The sequence below is a fragment of the Homo sapiens genome, chromosome 12 (assembly GCF_000001405.40).
Source record: "Homo sapiens chromosome 12, GRCh38.p14 Primary Assembly".
NCBI lineage: Eukaryota > Metazoa > Chordata > Mammalia > Primates > Hominidae > Homo > Homo sapiens.
Genome location: NC_000012.12, coordinates 86,935,778 through 86,948,924, shown reverse-complemented (window position 1 = coordinate 86,948,924; position 13,147 = coordinate 86,935,778). Strand labels below are relative to the sequence as shown.

At 38.6% G+C, this 13,147-nt stretch overlaps 3 annotated features.

The window, feature by feature from the left end:
* Positions 4,054–4,756: an enhancer, noted in NCBI's record as "OCT4-NANOG-H3K27ac hESC enhancer chr12:87337946-87338648 (GRCh37/hg19 assembly coordinates)". NCBI's record gives its function as "activates a minimal SCP1, AML or CMV promoter by ChIP-STARR-seq in naive and primed H9 embryonic stem cells {active_cell/tissue: H9 hESC(naive and primed)}" and the evidence as "EXISTENCE:reporter gene assay evidence [ECO:0000049][PMID:30033119]".
* Positions 9,233–9,809: an enhancer, noted in NCBI's record as "NANOG-H3K27ac hESC enhancer chr12:87332893-87333469 (GRCh37/hg19 assembly coordinates)". NCBI's record gives its function as "activates a minimal SCP1, AML or CMV promoter by ChIP-STARR-seq in naive H9 embryonic stem cells {active_cell/tissue: H9 hESC(naive)}" and the evidence as "EXISTENCE:reporter gene assay evidence [ECO:0000049][PMID:30033119]".
* Positions 9,810–10,386: an enhancer, noted in NCBI's record as "OCT4-NANOG-H3K27ac hESC enhancer chr12:87332316-87332892 (GRCh37/hg19 assembly coordinates)". NCBI's record gives its function as "activates a minimal SCP1, AML or CMV promoter by ChIP-STARR-seq in naive and primed H9 embryonic stem cells {active_cell/tissue: H9 hESC(naive and primed)}" and the evidence as "EXISTENCE:reporter gene assay evidence [ECO:0000049][PMID:30033119]".

The following is a 13,147-nucleotide window of genomic DNA, read 5'->3' as shown; positions in this document are numbered from 1 at the left end:
TCATGTCATACCTTAGAGATTTTTCTTGAATTTTATTTTTCTTCGACTTTAGTGAAATGTATCTTATGTGTTTATCTTCCTGAGACTTTAATCATCACATTTTTATTTTTGTGGTCCTCAAGTTGTTCTGTGAGATTCATTCATTATTTTTTTACTAGTTTACTATTTTAAAATGGCAGTACCATAGACGCTTGTCATGATTTTCACCTCGAATGTGGCAAAAGCATTGTCAGAATAATCATTTTATGGTAAGGTAACATTTCAGTCTTCTTAATTTTATTTTCAAGATGAACACCTATTGATATTCTCTCAGAGCAAGTCCTGAGAGAAGTGAGAGAGAGAAAAAAAAAGAGAGAGAAAGAAAGTGAGGTAGCTCAAAGTTGTTTATCACCCAATTTCTGAAGTGACATTTCATCACATTTGTGGTATTCTGTTTATTAGAAGCAAGCCGGCAGATCTGGTGTACACAGAAGTGAAGCGGGTTACACAAAGGTATGGTTATCATTGGGATCCATTTTAGAATCTGTGCACAATATCTGTATTCAAATGCCGGCAATATAATTAAGAGAAATACAGCCTTAAATGAGATGTTCTATCACTTTTCAGCTTCCAAAAAAAAAACTGTTTCCTCATGTGTTACACGAGATCATGATACTGCCCTTGAACACCACACCATGTAAGAATCATGGCAAGATATATACACACATGAATGCATGTTAAAAGCATCAGGTCCTATGTAAGGAGAAGTCAGCATTGTTGTTGTTATTAATTGGTAATATAAATAAAAATTAGTTTGATAGTTGTATTACTGACATATTTGTGAGATTGGGTTTGATTAAGGATCCTGCAAAGCAACATTGCAGAAGCTAAAGATAAAACCTTATTTTTTGAAAAATATGTAGGGTTTAAAGTAAAATATTCAGTAAAGTAAGGGAAACAGTCATTCATTTATTTCACAAGTATTTTTGCAGTGCCTTTGTAGTGCCAATCAAACTAAATGTGGTTTGACAATAGATCCGAAGTGAGTAGTTTAATTTTCCTGTAGTATGAGAAATGAATTTGGGGGTAGTAAATGCCTCAAAAGAATATTAGAATTAGCTTATTGCAAGCCTAATGTTTTATGAAAGTGAAGAGAAGCAGGATTAAAAGTTTACCTAAATCTTACAGCAAGTGAGCTGCAGAGTCATCCCTAGAATCCTGATCCTCTATCTAGGCCAATTTTTTTTTTTAGAAAGACAGTGGTTTTTTTTTTTTGGGTTTTTTTTTTTTTTTTTTTTTTTTTTTTTTTTTTAGAAAGACTGATTTTCTTTCTGTTGAATATTTTATTATTTCTAACAAAAATGAATAATCGTAAAGAGCAATGGGATGAAATAGTGGGAATGAATATTTCATTCTAACACATAGACTAAGATAGTTTATATTTTAAATTTTATTTTTAATATGGTTCTATCCTGTAAAAATATTTTGGAGATTTAAAAATAAATTATACCAACATTTTCCCTGTGTGATTAAAAATGAGAACACATGGACACAGGAAGGGGAACATTACATACCGGGGCCTGTTGTGGGGTGGGGAGAGTGGGGAGAGATAGCTTTAGGAGATATACCTAATGTTAAATGACAAGTTAATGGGTGCAGCACACCAACATGGCACATGTATACATATGTAACTAACCTGCACGTTGTGAACATGTACCCTAAAACTTGAAGTATAATAAAAAGATTATTTTACTGAAAAGTGTTGAAAACATTTGACATTAAAATGAAGCACAATTTGTCTTACATGTATTAAAAGGGAAATATTACTGTCCTTTTCACTTGCACAAATTCCTATATGAGAGCCAGAAAAAAATACTTAATATTTATACTTACTATTTATAGACAGTTTTGGAACATACATGGGCAAGTCCATGATAAGAGGCATACATCAGTGTGGGTACTTGAAGACTGAGTTAAAATTGGTTCTCACTAAGGATCATGGCCTGCAGTTCCAACCATGTTACTGCAAAAGGCACTATTTCATTTTTTATGGCTGTGTACCCCCAAACACCAGTATCACAAAATGTTCTTAAGTAACAGACCTACATATGTACCCATTGTATCTACAATAATAGTTGAAATTTAAACTAAATATTTAATCACTGGTTCTCATCAGAGGCTTCTAGGTAGAAAATGTTGAACTCATAGAAGAAGAGAGTAGAATGGTTTCCAGGGACTTAGAGGATGAGAGGTTGGGAAGATGTTGGTCAAAATATGTAAAATTTCAGTTAGATGGGATAAATAAATTCTAGACATTTATGGTACAACATATTGACTATAGTTAGTAATAATGTATTTGAATCTGAAAATTGCTAAGAGAGATTTTTGTTTTCTAATGACAAACAATAAGTACGTGAGGTAATGTGTATGTTAATTAGCTTGATTATGTCATTTTACAGTGTAGGTACATTTCAAAACATCATGTTGTACACTATATATTATATATGGTATACAACTATATATATTTGTTTGGTGAGCTTTGGTGTCAAGGCATGTACTGATGTGCCTTGACACCATACCTCACCAAATAAATCAGGACCTCTGGGATTGGGATCAAGGTACCAATATTTTTAAAGTTCTTTAGGTGATTCTAACACTGAGCTAGAATTGAGAACCTCTGAGTTATCACAGAGATGCTGATGAGAATTCGAGTGTCGAATGCATACACAGCATTCACAGAAACTACCTAGTCCAAATACTTTCTACAGAAGGAGGACTTTTCAGTCTTTGGTATTCAAAGACATTTATAGTTACTTTTCTCTCACAGAGCTCTTCTCGGCTAACATTTCTGATGCTTGTAAAGAGTTGGAACCATCAAGTTATCAAATTAATCATGTGTCACCTGCTAACATGAAATAAGTGCTATGTTTCTAACAGCAAATGCTAAATTAATGTCATTTTAGTCACAAGGAGTTCAAAATCAATTTCAATGCTAATCAGTGGTTGAAAGAATAGATTAGCAATGCAGTGAATGCCATTACCCTTTCAAGCATCTCTTTTATGTGATGCTCCCTGCTGAGGTGAATAAGGTTGTGAGGCTGTGATATCAAGAAGCAAGGGTATCAGTTAAAAAAAAAGAAATAAGAAGTAAAGTATAAAGATCCTGGAGAGGAAAAAGTTAAGTTAAAATCCTATTAAATTAATTTATTTTATTTTTGCCTACAATAAACTATCATTTCAGCAATAGAGTGAATGCATTGCTATTTCAAATAAAAATGACCTCTAAATCAAAAAATGGAAATAACTTGTATGATTTTTGAAGAATTTTGTGTTAAATCATTTTAATTTTAACATAAAATTCTTAAATTCAAAGCCTTTATTTTTATCTCTACTGTATAATGTTATTTTACACTGATATGGCTAAATCTTCTCCACTATATTATTAAAGTAACCCAATATTATAACATAATAATAATAATAATAGTAATAATAATATAGGAGAGAAGGCACCATCTTGATAATACTCCTAACAGAAAATATGATCTTATTACTCTGCTTCAATGATAATATGTAAAGGACTCAAAGCACATTTTCTTTTGCTACATATCTCTTATTCATTTACAGTGTAGGTTTGAATAATATATCGTAATTATACTTTGTATATACAAAAATCTTCTCTATGGAAAGAAATTTAGATGAATATTAAGTGGATTTTCTGTTTAAGAAAATTATTTTAAACCTTGACTGAGAATGAACTTTTTTGCATGATATTTCTGTACTATAGAAAGGTTCAGCAAAAAAAAGGTTCAGAAAAAAAAGGGAAAATATATATAGATATATATTTTAGAAATTTTTTTAAAAAATATTTTATCTTCTCTTTGCATTTATAACATAATTCACTTAAACAATCACAGAATCCTTTTTTTCCAATGCCACAAACTCTGTTTGCTTAGAATGCTGGTATAAATCCATGAATTTTATGTAATGAACTTAAACATAGATTAGAAATTGAACTGATGAGCAAAACAATTTGTGTTTCTCAAGACTAAAAAATTATATTAAGTAGATTAGCTGTGCAGATCTGTACAGCTTATTACCACATGTATTATGATAAATGAAATATAGCATATTCTCTCATATCAGCAGTACATTTTTACTTCTTCTAAACCAGAGTTTATGTGTTGCTAGTTTCATGCACATCCATGTGAAGAGACCACCAAACAGGCTTTGTGTGAGCAATAAAGCTGTTCATTTCACCTGGGTGCAGGTGGGCTGAGTCTGAAAAGAGAGTCAGCGAAGGGAGATAAGGGTGGGGCTGTTTTATAGGATTTGGATAGGTAAAGGAAAATTACAGTCAAAGGGGGTTTGTTCTCTGGCGGGCAGGAGTGGGGGTTGCAAGGTGCACAGTGGGGGTGCTTTTTGAGCCAGGATGAGCTAGGAAAAGGACTTTCACAAGGTAATGTCATCACTTAAGGCAAGGACCAGCCATTTACACTTCTTTTGTGGTGGAATGTCATCAGTTAAGGTGGGGCAGGGCATATTCACTTCTTTTGTGATTCTTCAGTTACTTCAGGCCATGTGGGCCTGTCACAGGGGATGAGATGGCTTGGCTTGGGCTCAGAGGCCTGACATTCCTGCCTTCTTATATTAATAAGAAAAATAAAACAAAATAGTGTTGAAGTGTTGGGGTGGCGAAAATTTTTGGGGGGTGGTATGGAGAGAGAATGGGCTATGTTTCTCAGGGCTGCTTCAAGCGGGATTAGGGGCGGCGTGGGAACCTAGAGTGGGAGAGGTTAAGCTGAAGGGAGGTCTTATGGTAAGGGGTGATATTGTGGGGATGTTAGAAGAAACATTTGTCATATAGAATGATTGGTGATGGCCTGGATACGGTTTTGGATGAATTGAGAAACTAAATGGAATAACAGAAGGAGAAAAACAGGTATAAAAGTTCTAGGAATTGGGATGACTCAGGACATCTGATTAGAGAGTGCCTAAGGAGATTCAGGATAGTCCTGCCAGCAAAGATTATTTATTTACTTCAAGAGTTAAGAGTGGAAGTTTGGGGATAGCACTAGGAGATATCAGCTGTGATGGCCTGGAAAAACAGTGTAAACTGGCAGTGTAAACAAGAGCAGGGCATATATGAGTAGTTGAGAACGGTGAATAGGAGTATGACTAGACAGAAGATAGTAGGGATGACAAGTTTTTTGGGGGCACAGTCTAAGTTGGTCTGGTGTCTGGAATGAGACTGGGGCCTAATAAAAAGGAGCGTCTATACAGGAGCTTAAATGGGCTGTACCCTGTAGCATTCAGAGGACAGGCCTGAATTCTGAGAAGGGAAAGTGGTAAAAGTATTGTCCAGTCCTTTTTAAGTTGGTGGCTGAGCTTGGTGAGGTGTGTTTTTAAAAGACCTTTAGTCCATTCTACTTTTCTTGAAGGCGGAGGACTGTAAGGGATATAAAGGTTTCACTGAATACTAAGAGCCTGAAAAACTGCTTGGCTGATTTGACTAATAAAGGCTCGTCTGTTATCAGACTGTATTGAGGTGGGAAGGCTAAACTGAGGAATTATGTCTGACAGAAGGGAAGGAAATGACTGGGGTGGCCTTCTCAGACCCTGTAGGAAAGGCCTCTACCTATCCAGTGAAAGTATCTACCTAGACTATGAGGTATTTTTGTTATCTGACTCAGGGCATGTTAAGTAAAGCTAATTTGCCAGTCCTGGGTGGGGCAAATCCTCGAGCTTGATGTGTAGGGAAGGGAGGGGGCCTGAATAATCCCTGAGGAGTAGTAGAATAGCAGATGGAACACTGAGAAGTTATTTCCTTGAGGATAGATTTCCACGATGGAAAGGAAATGAGAGGTTCTAAGAGGCTGGCTAGTGGCTTGTACTGTAGCATAACCTGCCTTTACTGGTGTGTGGCAATTAGGCCTGGTGGAACTACCATCAATAAATCAAGCGTGATGAGGGTGAGGAACAGGAAAGAAGGAAATCTGGGGAAATGGGGTGAATGTCAGGTGGATCAGAGAGATACAGTCATGGGGGTCAGGTGTGGTATCAGGAATAATGTGGGAGGCCGGATTGAAGTCTGGGCCAGGAACAATGGTAATTGTGGGAGACTCAACAAAGAGTGAGTACAGCTGAAGGAACCGGGAAGCAGAAAGTATATGCATCAGGTATGAGGAAGAAAATAGATTTTGGAAGTTATGAGAACTGTAGAGAGTGAGTTGAGCATAGTTTGTGATTTTGAGGGCCTCTAAAAGTATTAGGGCAGCAGAAGCGGCTGCATGGAGACATGATGGCCAACCTAAAACAGTAAGGTCAAGTTGTTTGGACAAAAAGGCTACAGGACGCGATCCTGGTCCTTATGTAAGAATTCTGACTGCACAGCCCTGCACTTCAGCTGTGTGTAATGAAAAGGGTTGGGATGAGTCAGGGAGAGCTAGAGTGGGGGCAGTTTCTAAAGCTGTCTTCAAGGAACGGAAAGAGGAGTGGGGAAAGGATTTAGGATCTATGGGGTCAGCTAGGTTTCCTTTTGTGAGTTTATGTAATGGTTTTGTTAGGGTGGCAAAACCAGGTATCCAAAGGCGAAAGTATCCAACCATGCCCAGGAAGGAAAGGAGTTGTTGTTTTGTAGAAGGGGTTGGGGTTTGAGAGATCAGTCGGACACGATTGGCAGGCAGAGCACGTGTGTTTTTATGAGAATTATGCCGAGATAGGTAACAGATGAGGAAGAAATTTGGGCTTGATTGAAGTAATGGGGGCTGTCTGTGAAGCTTTGCGGCAGTACAGCCTAGGTAATTTGCTGAGCTTGATGGGTGTCAGGGTCAGTCCAAGTGAAAGCGAAGAGAGGCTGGGATTAAGGATGCAACGGAATAGTAAAGAAAGCATGTTTGAGATCTAGAACAGAATAATGGGTTGTAGAGGCAGGTATTTAGGATAGGAGAGTATATGGGTTTGGCGCCACGGGGTGCATAGGCAAAACAATTTGGTTGATAAGGTGCAGATCCTGAAATAACTTGTAAGGCTTGTCTGGTTTTAGGACAGGTAAAATGGGGGAATTGTAAGGAGAGTTTATAGGCTTTAAAAGGCCATGCTCTAGCAGGTGAGTGATAACAGGCTTTAATCTTTTTAAAGCGTGCTGCGGGATGGGATATTGGCGTTGAGTGGGGTAAGGGTGATTAGGTCTTAATGAGATGGTAAGGGGTGCATGATCGGTCGCCAAGGAGGGAGTAGAGGTATCTTATACTTGTGGGTTAAGGTGGGGGGATACAAGAGGAAGACACAAAGGAGGCTTTGGATTGGGAGGAAGGGCGGCAATGAGATACAGATGTAGTCCAGGAATAGTCAGGGAAGCAGATAATTTAGTGAAAGTGTCTCAGCCTAATATGGGAACTGGGCAGGTGGGGATAACTAAAAAGGAGTGCTTAAAAGAGTATTGTCTAAGTTGGCACCAGAGTTGGGGATTTTAAGAGGTTTAGAAGCCTGGCCGTCAATACCCACAACAGTTATGGAGGCAAGGGAAACAGGCCCTTGAAAAGAAGGTAATGTGGAGTGGGTAGCCTCCGTATTGATTAAGAAGGGGACGGGCTTACCTTCCACTGTGAGAGTTACCCGAAGCTCGGCGTCCGTGATGGTCTAGAGGGCTTCCGAGGCCATCGGGCAGTGTCAGTCTTCAGCAGCTAAGCAAAGAAGATCTGGGAAGGAGTCAGTCAGAGAGCCTTGGGCCAGAGTTCCAGGGGCTCTGGGAGTGGCTGCCAGGTGAGTTGAACAGTCTGATTTTCAGTGGGGTCCCACACAGATGGGACGCGGCTTAGGAGGAATCCCGGGCTGCAGGCATTCCTTGGCCCAGTGGCCAGATTTCCGGCACGTGTAGCAAGCTCCTGTGGGAGGAGGTTCTGGAGGAACGCCTGGTCGCTGCGGTTCAGGTGTTTGGAAGTTCTTGTGTGCTGGAGATGTGGCTGGGGTTTGTTTCACAGTGGAGGCAAGGAATTGCAACTTTTTTCTATTATTGTACACCTTGAAGGCGAGGTTAATTAAATCCTGTTGTGGGGTTTGAGGGCCGGAATTTAATTTTTGGAGTTTTATTTAATGTCGGGAGCAGATTGGGTAATAAAATGTATTTTGAGAATAAGACAGCCTTTTGACCTTTTAGAGTCTAAGGCTGTAAAGTGTCTCAGGGTTGCTGCCAAATGAGCCATGAACTGGGCTGGATTTTTATATTTGATGAAAAAGAGCCTAAACGCTATCTGATTTGGGATAAAGAAAAAGGAACATTAACCTTGACTATGCCTTTGGCTCCAGCCACCTTTTTAAGAGTAAATTGCTGGGCAGGAAGGGGAGGGCTAGTCACAGAACGAAACTGTAAGCCGGACCAGGTGTGAGGAGGGGAGGTGATAAAAAGATTATAGGGTGGAGGAGCAGAGGCTGAGGAAGAATTGGGACCTAGCTCGGCCTGGTGAGGAGCAGCCTGGGGAGGAAGGGAGAAGTCAGATGGGTCTGTAGAAAAGGAAGATTAGAAAGACTCAGCGACGCTTGGGATTGGTACTGAGGGGACAGGCGAGAGGGAAAGAAGGAAGATTTGGGACGAGTTGCACTGGGCACAGAGACTAGGAAGGGACTGATGTATAAAAGAATGCCTGGATGTCAGGCACCGCAGACCATTTGCCTATTTTACGACAAGAATTATTTAGATCTTGCAGGATGGAAAAATTCAAAGTGCCATTTTCTGGCTATTTGGAACTACTGTCGAGTTTGTATTGGGGTCAAGCGGCATTGCAGAAGAAAATAAGGCATTTTAGGTTTTAGGTCAGGTGTGAGTTGAAGAGGTTTTAAGTTTTTGAGAACACAGGCCAAGGGAGTAGAAGGAGGAATGGAGGGTGGAAGGTTGCCCATAGTGAAGGAAGCAAGCCTAGAGAAAAGAGAGAGTAGAGAAATGGAGGGAAGGGGTTCAGGGGTTCTTACCTTCCAGAAAAGTGGGAAAAGGGGTTGGGGCACAGAGATAACAGGTCAGGGCATGGAAATAAGGGATGGGGCACAGAAATAAGAGGTTGGGGCACAGAAATAAGGGATTGGGGCACAGAGATGTAAGAGGTTGGGGTGCAGAAATAAGGGATTGGGGTGCAGAGATATAAGAGGTTGGGGCTCAGAAATAAGGGATTGGGGCGCAGAGATGTGAGGTTGGGGCGTGGAAATAAGGGATTGGGGGTTCTTGCCCCATAGAAAAGCGGGACTTGCCGCTAAGGGTGAAGGAGAGGGGTTGAGGGGTACTTGCCCCTCCCCTAGAAAAGCAGAGAAGGGGTAGAGACAAGGAGAGAAGGGGTTGGGGTACTTGCCCCTTCCCCAGAAAAGCGGGACTTGCCGCTAAGGGTGAGAGACCAAGGCAGGTGTCCCTGCGTGGTCTGACATCTTTGAAACGTGGGTGAATAATCAGAGAGGCATCCCTGAAATGACTAAACACCAAGGGAAGCCTGCCTTCGCAGTCTGTGACCGGTGCCACAGTTTTGGGTCCATGGATAAAACGTGTCTCCTTTGTCTCTACCAGAAAATGAAAGGAATTGAAATTAAGAGAAGGGAGCGATTGAAGTGTGGCGCCAAGATTGAAAGGAGAAACAGGTTGAGGGATAGTGAGGGAGGTTGGAGAAGAGTAAAAAGAGGCCGCTTACTGGATTTGAAATTGGTGAGATGTTTCTTGGGCTGGTCGGTCTGAGGACCTGAGGTGGTAGGTGGATCTTTCTCACGGAGCAAAGAACAGGAGGACAGGGGATTGATCTCCCAAGGGAGGTCCCCCTATCTGAGTCACGGCACCAAATTTCATGCACTTCCGTGTGAAGAGACCACCAAACAGGCTTTGTGTGAGCAATAAAGCTATTTATTTCACCTGGGTGCAGGTGGGCTGAGTCCGAAAAGAGAGTCAGCGAAGGGAGATAAGGGTGGAGCTGTTTTATAGGATTTGGGTAGGTAAAGGAAAATTACAGTCAAAGGGGGTTTGTTCTCTGGCGGGCAGGAGTGGGGGTTGCAAGGTGCACAGTGGGGGTGCTTTTTGAGCCAGGATGAGCTAGGAAAAGGACTTTCACAAGGTAATGTCATCACTTAAGGCAAGGACCAGCCATTTACACTTCTTTTGTGGTGGAATGTCATCAGTTAAGGTGGGGCAGGGCATATTCACTTCTTTCGTGATTCTTCAGTTACTTCAGGCCATCTGGGCTTATACGTGCAAGTCACAGGGGATGCGATGGCTTGGCTTGGGCTCAGAGGCCTGACAGCTAGTATTGGGTTTTTGAGTAATTTCCTATAATGTGTACTCATTTTTGAACAATGCTTTCTTAATATGATCTTTATGTAAGAACAGAGCCAAACAAGGGTATAATAAAGAGGAATTCTCAGGCACCACCTTAATTCATTTCTAGTTATGAACACTGGGTCTTGTGATGGCACTGTTTTAGTTCTTGTAGCAGGGTTAGTTGTACTTCATGGTCTTCTTTTCTAAAATACATTCATTCTTATCATTTAATATTGACCAACTATCATTTTGTCTTTTCCATCCTGATGCCTAAATTTATTTACTCTTTTCTATTCCCTTTTATTCTTGCTTGCAAAATGGCTAATGCTTTGCTTAGCTATAAGTTTCTTATAATGCCTTGTCAAACACAGCAAAGAGCAAAAATTATGTGCTACCAACAAGCTATTTTAACCTCCTGTTACCCACCAATCCTGGGTAAATTAGCTGTATCATATGTTTTCCAGTTCTTTGCTGGTGTATTGCACTAAATATTTTCCACTACAAAATTTGGATACTGTCTCATACCCTGATGATATATATTTTTTCTCACTACCTACTGCTGAACCCCTAAAACAATTCTACAAATATTTGATTTTAGTTTTTGAGGCAGTACCCCAGTCATAAGTACTAATTTCTATTACAGAATGGACTAAATTATGCTGCTTTAAGATATTGACACTTATTTTCTAATACCTCACCAATATTTATTCTCATTTGTATTTTTTCTAATTTTAGTTGAATATTTACAATTTTCTTTTTTATGGAGTTAATTTTTATGTCAAAGTTTTAACTGTTTTTCTTTATAATTTCTTACATAACTTTTCTGCTTATAAACCCCTTGCATTTTTATTTTGGATTAATATTCATCTATATGTTGCTCTACTTATTAGGCTATTTTATTACTTATAAAATAATTATTGGAAAACAACAATGACTAAAAAAACTCATCTTATTTTTTAAATTAATATAATTCATTTTTTAGAGAAGTTTTAAGTTTACAGAAAAAAATTAACAAAAAGTACAAGGGTTCCCAAATGCCCCCTCTGATTTTCCTGATTATTAACGTCTTCCATTACTGTGGTACATTCATTATAATTGATCAAGCAATATTGATACATTATTAATAACAAAAATGTATATTTTATTTTGTGGTTTGCACCTTGTTTTGTAGAGTTCTGTGGGTTTTCCCCAATACATAAAGTCCTTTATCTGTCATTACACTGTCATACAAATAGTTTCACTGCCCCCAAAATCCTGTGTTCTGCCTGTTCATTCCATTCTCTGCTCAAGATCCTGGCAACTACTCATGTTTTTACTGTCTCTTTAGTTTTGCCTTTTCCAGAATGTCATATAGTTGGAGTTATATAGTATGTAGCCTTTTCAAATAGGGCTCTTTCACACAGCAGCATGCATTTAAAGTTTCCTTAATTCATTTCATGAGTAGATTTCTTTCTTTCGCTAAATAATATTCTGTCCTATGGATGCCCCACAATTTGCTTCTAAGTTTTAGCAATTAGGAATAAAGCTGCTTTAAACATTTGGGTGCAATTTTTTTGTATGGACACAAGTTTTCAACTCGTTTGAGAAAATACCAAAGAGTGTGATTACTGGAACATACGGTAAGACTCTTTAGCTTCATAAGAAACTGCTAGACTGTCTTTAAAAGTAGCTGTACCATTTTGTATTTGCACAAGCAATGAATGCGAGTTCCTGTTGCTCCACAACCTGGACAGCAATTCGTGTTGTCAGCATTTTGGATTTTAGCCATTCTAATAGGTGTGTCGTGATATCTTATTGTGGTTTTAATTTGCAATTCATTTCCCTTATCATATACTGATTTGCCATTTATAGATCTTCTTTGATAAAATGTCTGGCCCTGTATTTTGCCCATTTTTTAATTAAAATGTTTTCCTTACTGTTCAGTTTTAAGAGTTATTTGTATATTTGGATAAAAGTTCTTTATTAGATATGTGTTTTGCAAATATTTTCTCCCAGCCTGTGGCTTAACTTTGCATTCTCTAAACACTGTCATTAGGAGAGTGGAAGATTTTATTTTGATAATGTCCAAATTACCTGATCTTTTTCCTGTATAGTGTTTTGGTGTTATATATAAAATATCACCTCTAAACTCAAGGTTACCTAGATTTTCCCTATGTTATGTAGAAATTTTATAATTTTGCATTTTAAATTTAGGCATATGGTCCATTTTGAGATAATTTGATATGTGTAAGGTCTGTTTCTAGATTCCTTTTTTTAAATCATGTGCATGTCTAGTTGTTCCAGCATTATTTTTCTTTTCAGCATCTTTTTTCCATTGGATTGTCTCACTTTATTCATCAAAAATCATTTGACAATGTATGTGAGGGTTGATTTGGGGACATTTTATTCTGTTCCACTGATTGATTGATTTATTCTTTCACCAATAACACCATGTCTTTATTATCATAGCCTCATATGAGTCTTAAAGTTGGGTAGTGTCAGTCCTCTGGCTGTCCTTTGCTGTTGTGTTGGCTCTTCTGAATCATTTCCCTTTAATATAAACTTTAGAATCACATTGTCAATATCCATAAAATAAATCCATAAAATAATTTGTTAAGATCTTGCTTGATATTGCATTGTATCTTTAGGCTAAGTTGGGACAACCTGACATATTAACAATATTGAGTCTTTCTGTTCACGAACTTGAAACATCTTCATTTATTTAAATCTTCTTTTATTTCTTTCAACAGAGTTGTGTAGTTTTCCTTGTATAGATCGTATACATATTTTGTCAGATTTATACCGCAGCGTTTGCATTTTTGGTGCTAAATTTTAATGATATGTTTTTAATTTCAAAGTTCATTTTTTTCTTACTGATAAACAGGAAGGCAATTGACTTGTGTGTAT